The 21,664-nt window shown below is 37.2% G+C and overlaps 1 long non-coding RNA gene across 2 annotated transcripts in view, besides 1 other annotated feature; it reads left to right on the top strand.

The window, feature by feature from the left end:
• The window catches only part of LOC105372190 (uncharacterized), a 312,925-nt gene that overhangs the window by 228,708 nt on the left and 62,553 nt on the right, over positions 1-21,664 (top strand). The gene's annotated exons all lie outside the window — the stretch shown is intronic.
• Positions 11,836-12,005: an enhancer, noted in NCBI's record as "experimental_49987 CRE fragment used in MPRA reporter constructs". NCBI's record gives its function as "activates a minimal promoter by MPRAs in K562 erythroleukemia cells, with activity observed for the non-introgressed 18:71117899 variant allele {active_cell/tissue: K562}" and the evidence as "EXISTENCE:reporter gene assay evidence [ECO:0000049][PMID:34662402]".

Genomic DNA, 21,664 nt, shown 5'->3' with positions numbered 1-21,664 from the left:
TAGATTTTCTGTAAGGCACATATAAACTCATCAAATATTTAGAGGGCCTTATGTTAATAGTCATATCAGGAAATATGCCTACATTCAGCACTATGGGTTGTGGTAACCATGTAGATGAAACCAAAGAATATTCTGTTTATTTCTAGTACCTTTTTATCTTTAATTGTAAAAATGTTATTTATTGAATAACCATTTCCTCTTTATCTCTGTAGCCAGTAAAAATCAAGAGCTGGCAGCTCTCCATGTTTTGACTTATGTCTCCTAGAGAAGAATAGGCACCCTGCCTGGAGCATGACTACACAACACGGTGTAACTTGGGTGAACTGTTAGATCCTTCAGTGAACAGAACGACATTGCTCTACCCTGATAAAAGTACTGCTGTTGCAACAATTAAGCTCTTTCTCCATGTTTTCCACCTCAATAATAAGACTCCTATTCTCCCTCTTCCCCCAGAAAAGAAGTTACAGGAAAATTGTGGACTATAATTAAAATATTTTCTTGAATCTATGAATAGGAGACCATCCTTAAGTACGGTGAATTGTGAAGAGAGATGTGTTGTCTTCTCTGTAAATATGTCTTTGGAAATCAGTACAAAGTTGAGCTACAAAGTAGCAGAACTCTTCTGCACTAAAGGCACAAAATGATTAGCCCCATGAGGAATGATTAAGAACTGTGACTGGAAGTTGACATAACAAGGCTTTCATCTATTTCATTTCCTGCATAAAGAATGTCTAGCCCATCCTGTATGAAGGAGTGACTGTACTGATTCACTGCTGGGATTTGAACTGGCTGATAGGAAATATATTAAAGCTAGTTACAGTAATAGTCAAAAAACTGTTTACTTACATGGGCTTAAGACTAACTTTTGTCCTATCTTAGGTACTTTACGGCCTCCTACGCAGAAGTTTGGTGTTTGCTTTAGGCCTGGGAACCTGGCCTTTAATCTTTACCCTCTAGTGGTATTTACTCACAACTTTTGTTAATTAGTCTTACTGAATAAATGCAAACCTGACTAGTGGATCAGGGCCGAGTCGCAGCTGTTTACAGAACTCAGCTTGGAGCCTGTAAGCTGCTCAGACCCTCAGCTGGACTGGCAGAGCATTTTATTTGCTATGAGAATACCGTATTAGGCAAAACCGCATACTATAAAAATGCTTTAAAATGCTCAGGAGCAGATGTGTGTGTCAGTGTACTTTATTCATCTGTCGGAATCAGGGGTCTGCAGGAACAGACCCCCCCGCAGCTAGTGCCCTCGTGAAAGGAGCACTGCCTCAATTCATCACATTAACCTGTTCTTCAGGCCCCTTCATTCAATATGTCTTGACGGTCGGCACATATCACCAATGTTTCACATTAGTACAAATGACAGCTGCCATTTAACTATGATAAGTGAATATCATGAATGGCTGGTGATGTGACAATGATATTTTCTTTTAGTGTTAATAACATTTTAAATGTAATTCGGTATAAAATTTAGCATTTCAAATACAGGTGCCATTTAGTATAAATTAATTACAGGTGCCATTTTACTATGATAAGTCAATAACATGAAAAGCTGGTGACGTAACAATGATATTTTCTTTCAGTGTTAACATTTTTAAATGTAATTCAATGTAAAATTTAGCACTTCAATACATTTTTACTACTTCCTTTGGTTCACTTCCATTACTGGAAACATCCTATTTCTTTTAATAAAACCACATATAAGGTCAAATATTTGGGATGCCAAGGCAGGAGGATTGATTGAGGCCAGGGGTTCAGAACCACCCTGGGATACACAGCAAGAGTCTGTCTCTACACAAAGTAATAAATTATCCAGGCATGATGGCTCACAGCTCCAGTTCCATCTACGCTGGAGGCTGAGGTGGGAGGATTGCTTGAGCCCAGGAGTTTGAGGCTGCAGTGAGTCGAGATTACCCCACTGCACTCCAGCCTGGGTGATAGAGAAAGACCCTCTCTCTCTTAGGAAAACAAAACAAAACAAACGGTCAAATAGAAATTTGCCTGCTCTGCCATATACATGGCCCACTTAAAAACTAAAAATACAACAAATATATGTATAACAGTCTTTGTTTCTAAAATATTTTGATACACAATGTCCTTTCAGTATTCGCAGCCAAGTTATGTAAGATAATGGAGCCAGGCATGTCTCATGCACTTCACATAGCTCAGTGCTGTGCTTATTGTCTTCAACAGTTATGTGAATTAGAGCTTTAATATAACTCATAGAATTAAAGTGGATGCATTGAAACCAAGCATTTTATAGTTACCTTTGCTATGCACATTTTGATATCCACATATACAAATATACAAACGGAAAGGTTTTAACATAGCTCCTGTCAACAATAGACACTGGGGACTCCTAGATGCTGGAGGGAGGGGGAGGGGGAAGAGTTGAAAAACTGTTGGCTGGATGCGGTGGCTCACGCCTGTAATCCCAGCACTTTGGGAGGCAAAGGCGGGTGGATCACCGGAGGTCAGGAGTTCGAGACCAGCCTGGCCAACACGGCAAAACCTTGTCTCTACTAAAAATACAAAAAAAAAAAAAAAAAAAAATTAGCCGGGTATGGTGGTGCATGTCTGTGATCCCAGCTACTTGGGAGGCTGAGGCAGGAGAATTGCTTGAACCTGGGAGGCAGAGGTTGCAGTGAGCCGAGATCGCACCACTGCACTCTAGCCTGGGCAACAGAGTGAAACTGTCTCAAAACAAAACAAAACAAAACAAAACAAAACAAAACAAAAAACTGTTGGGTACTATTCTTGGTATCTGAGTGACCGGTCGCTTCATACCCCAAACCGCAGCTTCATGCAGCATACACAGGTAACAAACCTGCACATGTACCACCTGAATCTAAAAAGTTAAAAAAGAAATAAGAAGAATAAAATTCCTGAATAGATTTGAAGACTCGAAAGTTGACCCAAACCTCCCAGTAACTTTCAGGTTATCCGGTACAAGTGAGACCTACTGACATTGAGCACTGCTGATCATGAGAAACTGGAGGTAATCAATCGTGAACCTGAGAACATGAAATTCAATATAATTTAATTTCATGAAACTGAGAACATCTTTGACAATTTTGCAGATGCATGCATTTATTTTATTATTTTTTAATTCTCTAGTGTGACACATGATTCAATTTTGAAGCGTGTTATGTATTTTTCTGGGGGAGACAAAAGGCACGTCTTTGTGAATACTCCTTTTCTGCATTACGGTCCTATTTGAGTATGTGGTTATACACTTCCAACCCTTGACATCTTTAAAATTGTTTACCTTTTAAAAACTGAACAGAATTAAGATAACTCTCATGGTGCCGATCACCCTGCATTCCTTCTTCTTGGATGACAGCTCATGCTATTTGATGTGATTGAAGCTTCTGTACCCCTCTGTGTTGACCAGCATCCTAAACTGGGCACTGATTGCCTTCACTAATTTGCTTTATGAATAAAGCCGGCCTAGAGATCAGTTGTTCAATACTTAATTTGCTAGGATAAATCTAAGACCTTCAGATCAAAGACATTTTTAGTTATGTAATACAAAGTTGTACATGGATACATATTTCAGAGGAATATTAAAAAGTACCCCAACTTATTCACAATCTTTGAGAAGCTATTAAACCTGAGAAGAGAACTAAGCAGTTTCTCTAATTACTAACATATATCACACATTTTATGGCTGTATTTCAATTAGGGTCTCTTCTCTCTGTGCTCTCAATGTCAAAGTTTCCTTTCTGAGTTCATTAGGGTGCTTGAAGACGAGGAGAGAAAGTTTGCATGCACCTGCACTGCCCCCATCACTACCTGCTCAGAGCCGTGTGGCAATCCCCATATTTTCCTGACAGCCTTAACTACACCCTTACTTTTCCTTAAGCACTTTAGTGTGACTAACAGAAGCTCTTGAACTGAAGTCAAATACCATTTCATTTTTTATACTCTGGAAAATGAGAAGGCAGTCATAGAAGTAAAACCAGAAACCATAAAACAAACACGTAAGTTTTGGGAGTTTTCTATGCCATAGAGAACGGAGAAAAGAAAAAAGAAATCATGACAATAAAGTATGATGATGTTAACAATGGTAGCAACAGGGCTTTCCTGGTCAGAGGATGCTCTAAGCACTTCACCCACGTCATCTCATTCATTCCTCACAACAATCTCATTAGATGTGTGCTATTTTTAGCCCCATTTTAAAAAGGAGGAAACAGGAATTAGGATGTTGAAAAATTGCTTAAGGTCATATATCTGGCAAGGCCTGTGGCTGTCATACAAAAATGACAATCAGTAGTAATTGCAGCTTTATGAGTCTCAATCCCTTTGCTTGCACAAAGGAGGATGTATGTGAGAATAGAAACAGCCTGAACTTTGTTGCTTGTTGGATTCCACGCTCAGGATTCTGACATATTTCCTTGGGTAGATTTTACATAGATGGGGACCTTTGATAGTTTCATTTCACAGAAAATGAAAATAATGATACCTACCACGTAGGAGTTTGGGGGGTTGAAAAGTTAACATGTTTCACATGCCTTGCACAGTTCCTGATACATTGAAATCAATAAATATGAGTTCTTATTCTTTCCCTCTTTAAATAATGGTGGAGGGAAAAATGATACTCAAGGATTCTATGATTCTTAAACAATGATTTCAAAATAAGTTCATTATTTGGAGGATTGAGAAATATAACTGGTGAAAATGTGTAAGTACATAAGAATGTACATAATTCCAAAGTTACCATAAAATATTTTTTAAAAAAATAAAATTATTAAAATTGGATTCAGAGGATTCTAAAAAGATGTGATATATACTTGATGTTAAAAATGAAGGATACGCAACAAACTGAGTTTGCAGTAGGAAGGGAACTTATGAAGTGGAAGAGTTTGGGACTTTTCAAGGAGAAGTGAAACAGGGCCAGTATTAAACACTGCATAGCCTTTTAAAGGGGCAAAAATGCGCTCAGCATCCTGAAAGTAACTATTCAGAGAAGGCCAGAGAGGGCAGAACATGTTTAAGCAATTGATACATCCAAGCTAGATAGAAACAGAGAGTTTTTAATGATACAGAGTTGAGTAGTAGGAGATAATGCAGAAAAGAACATTTGCAATGAAATTTAGAATAACCATAAAAGTCTAGGGAATTTGTTCTCGATCCTGGTAATAAAAGGAGTTAACTACTCAGGGCTGGACTTTATTGCTTCTTGCATTTTCTCATGCCCTCTTCACTCCTTGATTCCTGTAATATCAGTTCATAATTATTCTCTCCTACAGGATTCCCTAGAACTGATGGCCTTTGTTATGTACACCACCACCAGATGCTCATGTCCCTTGTTTCCCTTTATCATAAAACTTACCACACAGGACTGTAATTTCTTGGGTATTTGTCTTCTTTCTAGACAGTAAGCTTCTTGAGAACAGAGATCTTCTTTAACTCATATTTGTGTTTGTATAATGCATTTTATGTTTTACAACAGTTTTTGACTGGAAAATTTGAGACCGTAATACAGAGAATCCTCATGTACCCCCACAGAGTTTTCCTTATTATTGACATTTTACACTAGTAAGGTACCTTTCTTAAAATTAATGAACCAATATTGAAACATAATTATTAACTAAAGCCTTTAGTTTCTCAGATTTCTTTAGTTTTTATATAATGTCGTATTTCTATTCCAGGATCCCATCCCAAATACAACTTTACACTTAACTATCATGTCTCTGCAGTTTCTTCCTGACTGTGACAGACTTCCTTTGTTTTTGATGACCTTGGCAGTTTTGAGGAATATTGGCCCTGTTATAGCAGGATGCCTCTCTATTGGAATTGATCTGATGTTTGTCTCGTGAGTAGATTGCTAGTCCTGTTCATTGGAAAGAACACCACAGAGGTAAAATGCTATTTTCATTATCACAACATATCGAGGTTACATTCTGTTAAGATGGCTAACAACCTGTTAAGATTGACCTAATCAATCGACTGAGGTTTGCTAGGCTTCTCTGCTGTACAGTTCCTTTCCCTGCTCTTTCTACACTGTAATCTTTGGAAGGAAGTCACCATGTGCAGCCCACACTTAAGGCATAGAGGATGAGGCTCTTCTTCTTTCACGGTGGAGTATCTATATAAGTGTTTTGGATTCTTGGCCCAGGCATTCTCCACCATTTGTTAATTTATTCAGTCATTTATTTATATTGATAAGTACTGATGGATTTTATTTTACACTTTGGGTTATCATTGAATTTACTTTATTTGGTTGCTCAAGTCACCTCTGTTTGGATTTTGGTAGCTCTTTCAGTTGACTCCTGTGTCTCCTTGACACACCCCTACCAATGTGTGTTTGTGTGTGTGTTTAGCACTTCCTTACTTTCTGAATACAAGATATCAGATGCTCATCTTGTATATTTCCTTTTCAATGCTAGAATCAGCCATTTCATCAAGGAGCCGTTTCCTTTTATTAGAGAATGGTATTAGAAACCAAGATGTGGAAACTGGGTGTGCTTCTTGCTACTAGACTATTGTTTCTTCGGTGTCATACCATCTGACATAGAAATGAAATCTATGTGCACACACTAACCCATGTATTTCTATAAATATTTCCATATGCAACCATCTGTGTCTGTATGAAGGACATCTGAGTGAAACGTGAATTTATACTGGTATCTCCAACTCTCATGCATTACCACATGGATCATTCTAACCTGCTCACTTTGCTTATCTGTAAACTCCTATCCCAACAATGACAAATCTGGCTACCATGGGCTGCCATCTATTTACTTAAATGTGTGACACTAATTTACATGTGTGAGAACTGTTATAGCAATGTCAGAATTGTTCATCTGTGTAACCCCTAGGAAACAATTGTAGGATCTGGAGGACAGTGCTTATACGCAAGTCATTTTGCTTTAGTCATTAAAGATCCCACTCACTTCCAAAGTTACTTAGATGTGTACCTTTTCCCTCCCCTGCTTCAGTGAGTCTGTCTCATACATGTGTACTAAGGTTAGAATCTCTGTTGTTGTTGTTGCTGTTGCTGTTGTTGTTGTTGTTTGAGACAGAGTCTTGCTCAGTTGCCCAGGCTGGAGTGCAGTGGTGCAATCTCGGCTCACTGCAAACCTCCTCCTCCCGGGTTCAAGGGATTCTCCTGCCTCAGCCTCCTGAGTAGCTGAGACTAAAGGCGCCCGCCACCATGACCGGCTAATTTTTGTATTTTTAGTAGAGACAGAGTTTCACCATGTTGGCCAGGATGGTCTCGATCTCTTGACCTTGTGATCCACCCGCCTCGGCATCCCAAAGTGCTGGGATTGAGCCCCCGCGCCTGGACTCTTTTCGTCATTAAGACCTCTATGTTTTTACAAATATATAATGTCATGCATCCACCGTCACAGATTTATGCAGAATGTATTTTAATACCCTAAAAATCCCTTGTGCTTTATCTATTTACCTTTCCTATTGCTTCCAAAACCACTGATTTTTTTTTTTACTCTGTCTATAATTTTGCCTTTTCCAGGATGTCACATAATTGGAATTATACAGCAGATAGCCTTTTCAGACTGTCTTATTTGATGTACCAATATATCTATAAGATTCTTCAATGTCTTTTCATGGCTCTGTAGTCTATAAATAAGTTAATTAAGTGACTACAATATAGTGGACTTAAGTACAGATAAGGTGTGTTTTCACCTGCATTAGTTACTGTGAGTACATGAGGCACTAGAAGACATCTCGGTTGACTATTATTCAGTTGCTTATTTTGCTTTGTGTTTTCTTGTAGCCGGTGTTCTAAAACTAGAGTCCATGGGCATCTTTTCTCTATTGTGTGAATTTGCGATTCTGAATCTCCTGAGAAAAGACACAGAATGCGGATGTACACACACAGGCATTAGCAGGGGCTAGGTCTTTTATTTATTTCAAAATTGTATTCTGCTAATATCTATATTTATACTAAAATGAGACTAAAGTTATTTTGTCATAACAAGTTAAATGCCTTATATGCTATAAAATCTGTTGGTGAATTTAGAATTGCTGGTACTGATCATTAGAAGAGGTCATAGCTGCTTATCGTAACTTTGATCTCCTGTTGTTTAACTGTGACAGTACAGATTTTGAATGCATTCCATAAAAGCTGAAATACTCTTATAGAAATAAGCTTATCTTAAACAATGACATGAAAAATTCATCAATACACATTAACAAATTAATGAACTCAAATTATTGCCTATTACAATGTTCAGAAGTGTAAGCTTCAGAGAAAAGGACAACTGTTCTGGAAATGGCATCCCTGGAATGAGGATTCGGCAGAGCCCAGGCTTTGATCTCGGCACTCCTGGGAATAATTTCCAAGACACCAATTACCTTAAGGACAGGGGCCGGATTTCCACTCTGAATACAGAATTTTTCCACTAATTTCAAATTCCTGGTGGATAGAAAATCTACTCTGTGTCAAACCTGCTTGTCCTGAACTTAAAATTTCTTCTTTTACAAAATCACAAAAATCTGGTCTCTAATAAACTGTATATTTTCTATCAGTTAGTTTAACTTGAATTAAGTGTGATACCCCAAGTTTTATATGATGGCGCTATTACCAGAATCTATTTTTAGTTAATATATATTTACCATCTAATGAGAGACATATGAATATTAATATAATATATAATGAATAATTATCTAAAAGCTAAAAGAAATATGTCATCAAAATCAATTCTACAAATAGAAGTCTATTAAGTCTATCAATTGACATAAAATATTAAATACGTCTAAAAAGTAGGGTTAAAATAGCACAGTGATAAACCCTCTGAAATTTTCAAAAATCAAACAAATGTATAAAATATGCAATTATTTAGCGATTAGGAAAAGAGAGAAATTACACAATTTCTAAAACTAATATAATCATGATATCAAAACTTGACGAAACCTTTAACAGAATAATCTCACTTATAAATATATATGCATACATGCTAGTTTCATATATGCATAAATGCTAGTTTCTAAACTTATATGCATAAAATGCCATATAGAAACTAGAATTTAACAGTATAGTAGCATTGAAGATATAGAATCTATCTGAGGAGTAGGCTGATTATTTCTAGTATCTGAAAGTCTTTTACTTCAATGTATCAATAGATAAAAATATCTTAAATATATACAAAATATGTTTAGAAAAAACTTAGAAAATTTAACAAAATATTTTTAAGTAAAACACACAAAACAATAATGTTATCAAATATTTCAAACAAGATACAAGACAGCATTTCAGTTATCTATAGCTTTGTAACAAGTTGTTTCAAGACTTTTTGGCTTTAAAATATCAAAGGTATAATTTCTTGTAATTCTCTTAACCAGGAATTTGAGCAGTGAGCTTCTCTGGAGCTGTAAGAAGTAAGATGGACTCTCAGCCTTCAAGTGTTTATCTTCACTTGCCTTCTCAGCCAGTTCTCTAGTCTGATTGTCTTACTGCATAGTGACTGGGGTTTAAGATGGAGGAAGCAGAGCTGCCTGATTTTATGTCCTGGGCTTTGAAATTCCAGAACATAACTTTTGCCATATTGTATTGATCAAAGCAAGTCACAACATAAAACTAGATTCAAGGAAAGGGAAAATAGACTCCACTTCTTGAAGTGAGGAAGAGAACAAGCATATGGCTATAAGATAATATGAGGCCTGTCATAAACATCAACATCCCTCACAAGAAAAACACATTCGCACACTCTCTGAACATCCTGTTAGTTTACTGATTTTTAAATTAAGGTTTAGATAAAGAAGCTTTTCAAGTATAGCTCCTCTCAGTGTGGTCACCTGTAAACTCAAAATATATTTTTTTCTGCCTCGCCTCCCCACCCATGCACCTAACAGGAATAGAATGACTGCAATAGATCTCCCCAATCAAAAGGCAAGGAACAGAAAAATGCAGAGAAGCCATTGGTCTAACGCAATCCCGAAATCCAACTGGGCATAGGTTTTCAGGGCTTCCTATTCTAGCGGCAGGGAACATTCTTCAACTGGGGCATAGTTCTTCTTCGGAGTACATCTCGGCAACTCTTGGCTCTGTCTTCTGGACTTTGGCTCTACTTGATCCATTCTTTTCCATACATGAATGTCCTATGTATGCAACTGAATTGCTTTCTCAGCTTGTTTTTGGATGTAGAAAGTTGGATGTTTTTATTTTATTTTATTTTTATTTTTTGTGATGGAGTCTTGCTCTGTTGGCAGGCTGTAGTGCTCACTGACACCTCTGCCCCCCGGGTTCAAGCGATTCTCCTGCCTCAGCCTCCCGAGTAGCCGGGACTACAGATGTGTGCCACCATGCCAGGCTAAATTTTGTATTTCAGTAGAGATGGGGTTTCACCAAGTTGGCCAGGTAGGTCTCGATCTCCTGACCTCATGATCCACCCGCCTCAGCCCCCCAAAGTGCTAGGATTACAGGCGTGAGCCACCCCACCCGGCCGCTTTTTTTAAAATCATTATTTTTAAACCATCATTGCTCCTTTAAATATAAGCAGATATACCTCCTTTAAAAACTCTGTGGGCTTCTCATGCGTAAAATAATCATGCATTTCCTATATTAAAAGCCCCTCCCATAAAACTATATGTGCTGAATTTCTCTTTACATTTGGGCTGCCAGTCAGAATGCTAAAGGACAAAACCTTTAAGATTTTTAGATGGCTTTTTAGTTTGTTGATAACATCTACAATGTAACACTTTAAATCTTTCTGAAATTTCAAAAAATACTGTGCAGACACAAACCTATTTAATGTTTCCACTGAAGCTGTATTTTACGTGGAGTCCCCTGGACCCTAGATTTCATCTTTACTTTGAAGCTATCATTTTTAAAATTCATTTTTATTTTTAGTTTTTAACTTTGAGAAGTTTTTGCTATCCAGAGAGGTTCAAAGTGAGAAGCAATTTTATTTTTCAATAGAATAAGTCTGGTTTGGAACTGCTTCTTCTAAATTCTGCTTGAAAACTAAAAAACTTTTTCTTTAGCTTTTCTCTCTTTCCACACTTCATCCTAAGCTATTTACAGATAAATCATGTTACTATAAAGACACATGCGAATGTATGTTTATTGAGGCACTATTCACAATAGCAAAGACTTGGAACCAACCTAAATGTCCATCAATAATAGACTGGATAAAGAAAATGTGACACATATACACCATGGAATACTATGCAGCCATAAAAAAGGATGAGTTCATGTCCCTTGCAGGGACATGGTTGAAGCTGGAAACCATCATTCTCAGCAAACCATCACGAGGACAGAAAACCAAACACCGCATGTTCTCACTCATAAGTGGGAGATGAACCATGAGAACACACAGACTTAGGAAGAGGAACATCACACACCAGGGCCTGTCACGGGGTGGAGGGGTAGGGGAGGGATAACATCAGGAGAAATAACTGATGTAGGTGACAAGTTGATGGGTGCAGCGAACCACCATGGCACGTGTATACCTATGTAACAAACATGCACGTTCTGCACAGGTACCCCAGAACTTAAAGTATAATTAAAAAAAAAATAATAAATAAATAAATAAAAAGAAGCTGACTGACACTTTCAGTGTTTCACCTGGAATGCTCAACCTGGTCCAAAATCAATGATATCTTTCAAATTTTTCAGTAGCACTCCCATTCCAGATACAAAATTTTGTGTCCCTTCTCTATTGCTGTATCGTAGGTTGCCCCAGAACTTAGTGTATTCATACAACATTTTTTTCACCTTTTAAATGATTCTATCAGTCAGGATTCAGGCAGGGTTCAGTTGTGCTGCTTTTCCAAACTCTGTCTGTTGCTGCTGGAGCCACCCAGTCAGCATCATTGAGCCATAAGCTCAGAGAGGGCCAGAGCCACCAAGTAGGCCTCTCATTGTCCACAGTGTCCTCTCCAGTCCTTCAAGCATTCAGTTGTCTAGACTGGACTGACTTACACATGGTGGTGGTTGACTTCTACGAAGGAGGATATAAAAGTGTCTAACCCAGGCAAAGATTTCTTGAGTAATACCCCACAAGCACAGGCAACCAAAGCGAAAATTGACAAATAAAATCACATCAATTTAAAAAGCTTCTGCACAGCAAGGAAAACAGTGAACAAAGTGAAGAGACAACACATAGAATGGGAGATAATACTGGCAAACTCCCCATCTGACAAGGGATTAATAAACCAGAATATATAAGGAGCTCTAACAACTCTATAGGGAAAAAATCTAATAATATGTTTAAAAATAGGCAAAATACCTGAATAGACATTTCTCAAAAGAAGACATACAAATGGCAAACAGGCATATGAAAAGGTGCTCAACGTCATTGGTCATCAGAGAACTGCAAATCAAAACTACAATGAGATATCATCTCATCCCAGTTAAAATGGCTTTTATCCAAAGTCAATCAATAACAAATGCTGGTGAGGATGTGAAGAAAAGGGAACTCTTGTACACTGTTGTTGGGAATGTAAATTAGTACAACTCCTATGGAGAACAGTTTGGATGTTTCTCAAACAACTGAAAATAGAGCTGCCATATGATCCAGCAAATCTACTGCTGGTTATATACCCCCACAAACAGGAAATAAGTACATCGAAGAGATACCTGCACTCCCATATTTATTGCAGGACTATTCCCAGTAGCAAGATTTGGAAGCAACCTAAGTATCCATCAACAGATGAATGGATAAAGAAAATGTGGTACATATACACAATGGAGTAGTATTCAGCCATGAAGAAAGATTATGTTACTTGCAACAACATGGATGAAACTGGAGGTCATTATGTTAAATGAAATAAACTTGGCACAGAAAGACAAACTTTGCATGTTCTCACATATTAGTGAAAGCTAAAAATTAAAATGACCTCATAGAGATAGAGAGTAGGATGATGCTTACCAGAGGCTGGGTAGGATAATTAGAGAGGGACAGTGGTGGGGGAATGAGGGTGGTTAATGGATACAAGAAAATAGTTAGAAAGAATGAATGAGACCTAGTGTTTGCTTACACAACAAGGTGACTATAGTCAAAAATAACTTAATTGTATATTTTAAAATAGCTTAAAGAATGTAACTGGATTGTTTGTAAGACAAAGGAAAAATGCTTTCCTCATCACAAAGGTGGTGAATACTGTATTTTCCATGATGTGATTATTACACATTGCATGTCTATATCAAAATATCCCTCGTAGCCCATAAAGATATACAGATACTATGTACCCACAAAAATCAAAAGTAAATAAATAAATAAATAGCTGAGGTGGGCAGATCACCTAAGCAGAGAGTTCCGGACCAGGCTGGTCGACATGGTGAAACCCCTTCTCTACTAAAAATACAAAAATTAGCAAGGCATGGTGGCGAGCACCTGTAATCACAGTTACTTGGGAGGCTGAAGCAGGAGAATCACTTGAACCTGGGAGGCGGAGGTTATAGTGAGCCGAGATCGTGCCACTGCACTCCAGCCTGGGCGACAAAGTGAGGGCTCTATTTCAAAAAAATAAAAAATAAAAGTAAATGAATAAATAAATACAAAGAAATGTTCTAGTCCTCCTAAGACTAGAGCTAGGAAGTTCCCCATCATCACTTCCAGCACCACATTGCATTGAACAAGGCAAGTTACAAGGCCAGACCAGATTCAAAATGGGAGTTTTCAATTACGTTAAAGAAAAACACAGAAAAAGTCAAATCTGCAATTTTGGGAATAGCTTTCTTAAAAGTAGACATATATTTAGGGCACACATTTATATGTTTGTAACTGATTTTCTTATAACCCCTACTTAAAATCTGCTTATATTATAGATAATGTATCTGGTGGAAGCAATGACTATTAGCCTCTGGACTTTCTTCTTTTATAAATGTACTGTTTTTAGGGAATTCTAAACTCTGAAATATTTTCTGTCTAGACACTTTCATTTGGTAAAAATATCTAAATATCATTATTCTACTAGATTTACTTATATTTTGTTCTAGATATTTAGTCACGTTGCCTATCACAGAAAAGAAATCAGAAATACAATGCCAAACTTTAGACTGTGAACCATTTACAGTAAAGGTAGTGCCTGCGTGTGTGTGTGTGTGTATTAGTCAGTTCAGGCTGCTGTAAGAAAATACCATTGGCTGGATGGTGCAAACACTGTGAATTTATTTTCTCATGGTTCTGGAGGCTGAAAGTCTGAGATCAGGGTGGTAGTTTGGTTGTTTTCTGGTGAAGGCTTGCGGATGGCTGTGTGCTTACATGGTCTTTCTGGGGTATCTATGTGTGGGGACAGAGAGATGAACCCTATCAGATCAGGGCCTCACTCTTATTTCATTATCCTTAATCATCTCCTAAAAGCCCTGACTGCAAACATAGCCATAGTGAGGGACAGGGCTTCAACGTATGAATTTAGAGGGAGACAAAATTCTACCCCTAGAAGGATGCTAGACCAGTTTAATAACTCTCCTAGGCATCCCCACCCCAGTCCCTTTCAAGGATGGGAATTATTTTCTAACTCCTATTTTCTCTGAAGCTCCTGGTTAAAAATCTGTGAATTAGAGAAACTGACACAAGATTGAGATGGTGGGAAGGCAGTGGAAGCATTTATTCTCAGAAGTTGATGACTGTCGTACACAGTGAGGCTCAGATGTGGGGCGCCTAGGGAGCAGGCTGTTTCTACACATTTAGAGGCTGCCACGCACCCAGATGCTGTGCAGACCTCCGCAGGAGCTCCCGGGCCACCGTCCAGGCAGATTCAGGAACCCTCCACGGGCTCTCACTTTGAAGCCCTGTGCATCCTGCCTCTCACACTTGCCTGCACTCTCTGGCCTTTGCTCTGGCACCAAGGCTTTGAGCTGCAGTGGTTATTGAATATTCTTCTTTGCTCTTCACACTCTTGTGCAAACAGTAATTTGTATATACTGCCTCCTAATCTTTTAATATTTGTAGTGGCTTTTTCATCCTGAGAACATTCAGATGGATATACTGAGATAAATATCTTTCTTCATAATATGTGAGGATCTATTTACACATTTTTAGACTGTTATATTTGTATATGGCTTTACCTAAGCACAGAATAATGTGAAACTTAGGTTTTACAATTATTGATTAATTTTCTCTAGGATTTGACCTTTTAGTTAAAAAAAAAAACGTTAAAATGCCATAGGTTTTACTTGGTTTTATGTGTAATGTAAATAAAATTTACAAATAAAGCTACATTGTAGAAGAGTAATTAGTGTTACTTGACTCATAGTAAACTCCCAACACACTCTGTTGTGAATTAGGTACATGAAATGGACATAAATTTTTATAATAAAAATGTTGCACAAAATCCTCACTTTTCTGATTTTCATAACTTGTATATTATAGACTATCTACTTAGCAAAATGTTTCAGAAAAACTCGCTGTATTGTACTAGATAAAACACATTTTGACAGTAATTACAAAAGGCATAGCCCAAGAAGTATCTATAAATGCTTAATCCTAATAGTTCAGAGTTACAACTTGGAAGCAACTGAATACATCTTCTTATTGTAAAGTGTTTGCAAGGTAGAAAGTTTGAATAATTATTTTGCACTCTCATTCAGATGTACATTGGGAAGAGGCTCTTATTAATTATGCTTAATACTTATTTTGGTTTTGAAATATATTTCATCTGCACAAACAATGATCAAAATTCAGGTTTAATAATAGTTTCTACTGTTCAGTTTGTATGTTCAAGAAACAGCAACTGAGGTTGCTACTTGGTATTTACTTTGCAAACCTTAAGTCTCCCTTGCTTTCAGAGTTAGGGAAATGAAAAGGAATTCGAGGCAGAAATGGGAGTTATTAGTTCCATTAACACATCAGGAAACAGATTTAGTTTTTAGCTTCAAAGCTGCAATAGAATCTGTGATGTAGGGCCTGTAACGAGCATGTCCTTCGTGCATTTTTTTTAGGCTGCCATTCATAATGATGTCAGCTAGCATTACTCATTTTGCTATCATCATTCAGAACCTACTCAAAGAGTAATGGGTGGGGTGGAAGGTGGAAAACATTTTTTGTCGAAAACTAACTGGAGTGTTGTGTATTATTATCTATTTCTTTTGACTGTGGACATGTATGTACTTTTTCTTTACATGTGTAATATCTATGTATATTTTTAAGTTGCTTCTGTTTGCTATTAATATTCAGTCTTGAGATTGCGATTTGATTATAATATTTCTAAAATATTTATTTAGAAATATCCAGTTGGTATTAAAAATATTTCCATCAATACCTAATTTATTGAGAGTTTTTAGCATGAAGGGTTGTTGAATTTTGTCAAAGGCCTTTTCTGCATCTATTGAGATAATCATGTGGTTTTTGTCTTTGGTTCTGTTTATACGCTGGATTACATTTATTGATTTGCATATATTGAACCAGCCTTGCATCCCAGGGATGAAGCCCACTTGATCACGGTGGATAAGCTTTTTGATGTGCTGCTGGATTTGGTTTGCCAGTATTTTATTGAGGATTTTTGCATCAGTGTCCATCAAGGATATTGGTCTAAAATTCTCTTTTTTGGTTGTGTCTCTGGCCGGCTTTGGTATCAGGATGATGCTGGCCTCATAAAATGAGTTAGGGAGGATTCCCTGTTTTTCTATTGATTGGAATAGTTTCAGAAGGAATGGTACCAGTTCCTCCTTGTACCTCTGGTAGAATTCGGCTGTGAATCCATCTGGTCCTGGACTCTTTTTGGTTGGTAAGCTATTGATTATTGCCACAATTTCAGAGCCTGTTATTGGTCTATTCAGAGATTCAACTTCTTCCTGGTTTAGTCTTGGGAGGGTGTATGTGTCCAGGAATTTATCCATTTCTTCTAGGTTTTCTAGTTTATTTGCGTAGAGGTGTTTGTAGTATTCTCTGATGGTAGTTTGTATTTCTGTGGGATCGGTGGTGATATCCCCTTTATCATTTTTTATTGCATCTATTTAATTCTTCTCTCTTTTCTTCTTTATTAATCTTGCTAGCAGTCTATCAATTTTGTTGATCCTTTCAAAAAAACAGCTCCTGGATTCAATAATTTTTTGAAGGGTTTTTTGTGTCTCCCTCTATTTCCTTCAGTTCTGCTCTGATTTTAGTTATTTCCTGCCTTCTGCTAGCTTTTGAATGTGTTTGCTCTTGTTTTTCTAGTTCTTTTAATTGTGATGTTAGGGTGTCAATTTTGGATCTTTCCTGCTTTCTCTTGTGGGCATTTAGTGCTATAAATTTCCCTCTACACACTGCTTTGAATGTGTCCCAGAGATTCTGGTACGTTGTGTCTTTGTTCTCGTTGGTTTCAAAGAACATCTTTATTTCTGCTTTCATTTCATTATGTACCCAGTAGTCATTCAGGAGCAGGTTGTTCAGTTTCCATGTAGTTGAGCGGTTTTGAGTGAGTTTCTTAATCCTGAGTTCTAGTTTGATTGCACTGTGGTCTGAGAGACAGTTTGTTATAACTTCTGATCTTTTACATTTGCTGAGGAGAACTTTACTTCCAACTATGTGGTCAATTTTGGAATACGTGTGATGTGGTGCTGAAAAAAATGTATATTCTGTTGATTTGGGGTGGAGAGTTCTGTAGATGTCTATTAGGTCTGCTTGGTGCAGAGCTGAGTTCAATTCCTGGGTATCCTTGTTAACTTTCTGTCTCGTTGATCTGTCTAATGTTGACAGTGGGGTGTTAAAGTCTCCCATGATTATTGTGTGGGAGTCTAAGTCTCTTTGTAGGTCACTCAGGACTTGCTTTATGAATCTGGGTGCTCCTGTATCGGGTGCATGTATATTTACGATAGTTAGCTCTTCTTGTTGAATTGATCCCTTTACCATTATGTATATTGATGGGACATATCTCAAAATCGTAAGAGCTATCTATGACAAACCCACAGCCAATATCATACTGAATGGGCAAAAACTGGAAGCATTCCCTTTGAAAACTGGCACAAGACACGGATGCCCTCTCTCACTACTCCTATTCAACATAGTGTTGGAAGTTCTGGCCAGGGCAATTAGGCAGGAGAAGGAAATAAAGGGTATTCAATTAGGAAAAGAGGAAGTCAAATTGTCCCTGTTTGCAGATGACATGATTGTATATCTAGAAAACCCCATCGTCTCAGCCCAAAATCTCCTTAAGCTGATAAGCAACTTCAGCAAAGTCTCAGGATACAAAATCAATGTACAAAAATCACAAGCATTCTTATACAACAATAACAGACAAACAGAGAGCCAAATCATGAGTGAACTCCCATTCACAATTGCTTCAAAGAGAATAAAATACCTAGGAATCCAACTTACAAGGGATGTGAAGGACCTCTTCAAGGAGAACTACAAACCACTGCTCAAGGAAATAAAAGAGGATACAAACAAATGGAAGAACATTCCATGCTCATGGGTAGGAAGAATCAATATCATGAAAATGGCCATACTGCCCAAGGTAATTTATAGATTCAATGCCATCCCCATCAAGCTACCAATGACTTTCTTCACAGAATTGGAAAAAACTACTTTAAAATTCATATGGAACCAAAAAGGAGCCCGCATCGCCAAGTCAATCCTAAGCCAAAAGAACAAAGCTGGAGGCATCACGCTACCTGACTTCAAACTATACTACAAGGCTACGGTAACCAAAACAGCATGGTACTGGTACCAAAACAGAGATATAGATCAATGGAACAGAACAGAACCCTCAGAAATAATGCCACATATCTATAACTCTCTGATCTTTGACAAACCTGAGAAAAACAAGCAATGGGGAAAGGATTCCCTATTTAATAAATGGTGCTGGGAAAACTGGCTAGCCATATGTACAAAGCTGAAACTGGATCCCTTCCTTACACCTTATACAAAAATGAATTCAAGATGGATCAAAGACTTAAACGATAGACCTAAAACCACAAAAACCCTAGAAGAAAACCTAGGCATTACCATTCAGGGCATAGGCATGGGCAAGGACTTCATGTCTAAAACACCAAAAGCAATGGCAACAAAAGCCAAAATTGACAAATGGGATCTAATTAAACTAAAGAGCTTCTGCACAGCAAAAGAAACTACCATCAGAGTGAACAGGCAACCTACAAAATGGGAGAAAATTTTTGCAACCTACTCATTTGACAAAGGGCTAATATCCAGAATCTACAATGAACTCAAAAAATTTTACAAGAAAAATACAAACAACCCCATCAAAAAGTGGGTGAAGGATATGAACAGACACTTCTCAAAAGAAGACCTTTATGCAGCCAAAAAACACATGAAAAAATGCTCACCATCACTGGCCATCAGAGAAATGCAAATCAAAACCACAATGAGATACCATCTCACACCAGTTAGAATGGCAATCATTAAAAAGTCAGGAAACAACAGGTGCTGGAGAGGATGTGGAGAAATAGGGACAGTTTTACACTGTTGGTGGGAGTGTAAACTAGTTCAACCACTGTGGAAGTTAGTGTGGCGATTCCTCAGGGTTCTAGAACTAGAAATACTGTTTGACCCAGCCATCCCATTACTGGGTATATACCCAAAGGACTATAAATCATGCTGCTATAAAGACACATGCACATGTATGTTTATTGCGGCACTATTCACAATAGCAAAGACTTGGAACCAACCCAAATGTCCAACAATGATAGACTGGATTAAGAAAATGTGGCACATATACACCATGGAATATTATGCAGCCATAAAAAAGGATGAGTTCATGTCCTTTGTAGGGACATGGATGAAATTGGAAATCATCATTCTCAGTAAACTACCGCAAGAACAAAAAACCAAACACCGCATATTCTCACTCATAGATGGGAATTGAACAATGAGAACACATGGACACAGGAAGGGGAACATCACACTCTGGGGACTGTTGTGGGGTGGGGGGAGGGGGGAGGGATAGCTTTAGGAGATATACCTAATGCTAAATGACGAGTTAATGGGTGCAGCACAGCAGCATGGCACATGTATACATATGTAACTAACCTGCACATTGTGCACATGTACCCTAAAACTTAAAGTATAATAATAATAAAATTAAAAAAAAAGAATTGGAAAAAAATAAAATAATATAATATTATTGTTAAAAAAAAAAAGTCCAGATTCTTTACATTATACAGAAAGTGGTATTTACTATTATTGAGATTGGAATCTGAATTCTTTAGTGTAATAGCTGCATTTATGAGCAGTCTAGTTTTTAAGATTTATGTAAGAAACAAGTTAATCCTTTAGTAGCAGTGACATATCTGTAAATAATCGGTCATGTGGAAAGTTATATATAAATATGTTTTCTCAATTAGCTATATTACTCATTTCCCAGAGTAAATGAGAAGACTGAGACAACTTTATGTTTCTTGCTTAAGTAAATATATTTCTATGATTGATGATCATTTCTCTTCTCCTCAAATAAAAATAACTGTTAGGTAATAAACTACTTAAAATTCCAAGGCAGTAGAATGATATTTTCTTTTTATCTTACTTATAAAATGTAGTAAAAGGTAATTTGTCCAGAAAAACATGAATAACAAATACAGAGAATATTAAAACACCGAGTCAGTTTCTTTGTATATTTTTCTGGGAAGAAAATATCAATGATCATCCCAGGTCTCTGAGTGAAAACTCAACACATGAATGGGTACGTTCTTTTTAATTTATTACTCATGACATTGCAGTTCACTTGATGCGCTCAAGGATTCTATAAGATATAATTTTGTGAAAGAGTAATAACTGCTCAATTTGAGGTTTCACTAATAATTTTCTTTGGTGAGATATTTGCCATACACCTGAAAATTCAAATTGAAGAAATAACGTAATTAAATTTTCTTAAGTTTTGTAAAGGATTACCAATGTGCTTGATTTACTTGTGGTTGAAGGAGTTGTGATGTGTATCATCTATATCTTAATTTCCCAGAAGTATCATTTATAGGAGCCAAAATCTGTAAGAGAAATTTGAAAAAATTATTTTAAAGTATGGTTACAATTACATGCACCTAAAATGCACATCGGATCTCACAGACTAAATGTGCAGATAGAGATTTTAAAACATTATTTTGTAAGTGATATTTCTCTTTTGACTCTTTATATCTTAATAATGCTTTAAGGTCTAGGATAGATCTTTCCCTTTCTATCCATCACAGCCATAAGTAGTACCTTTATTGAGCAATATAATTTAATGCTCATGTACGTGAGCTCTGGATTCAGCATCCCAGCTCCTCCATTAATTGTGCAAATCAGTAAAATAGAAATTTTAAGAGGATCAACTATAAATAAGAGAGAAGCTATGTAAAGACTCTGACTTTTAAAAAGGGTTAAGAGTACGATAGGATATGGCCAGAGGATACGGAAACACTCAACTTCATTTTTTTTCTGTAATTGAATGCTAGCCTTCTTCAAATGAAATTTCTTATCCCAAGTTGCTTCATACATAAAATTTCCCATCCTTACCTACCCAGAAACTACTTGTTTTTGTGTACTTACCTCTATACAGAGATCATAAATTGTTTCCTATTCAAGAGATGTGCTGCCTGTCCCTGCCTTTCCCACACAACGTGGAGAAAATATCTCCTCTCATCACACAGCCTGAATCCGTAACACTGCCTGCTCAGCCTGCTCAGCCATGGAACCTCTTCAACCAGGACATTTGTCTCCATTTTCTGCATCCATACTCTTTTCCAAGGTTTCTCCTGTATTTCACCTTACCTGAAGCCTCTCTTTCTTCAAACATGTTAAATTCCTTCCAAATCTCTCAAATCTTATTATTCTGT

Source organism: Homo sapiens, chromosome 18 (genome assembly GCF_000001405.40).
Source record: "Homo sapiens chromosome 18, GRCh38.p14 Primary Assembly".
Lineage (NCBI taxonomy): Eukaryota > Metazoa > Chordata > Mammalia > Primates > Hominidae > Homo > Homo sapiens.
This window is presented reverse-complemented; position numbering and strand designations above follow the sequence as displayed.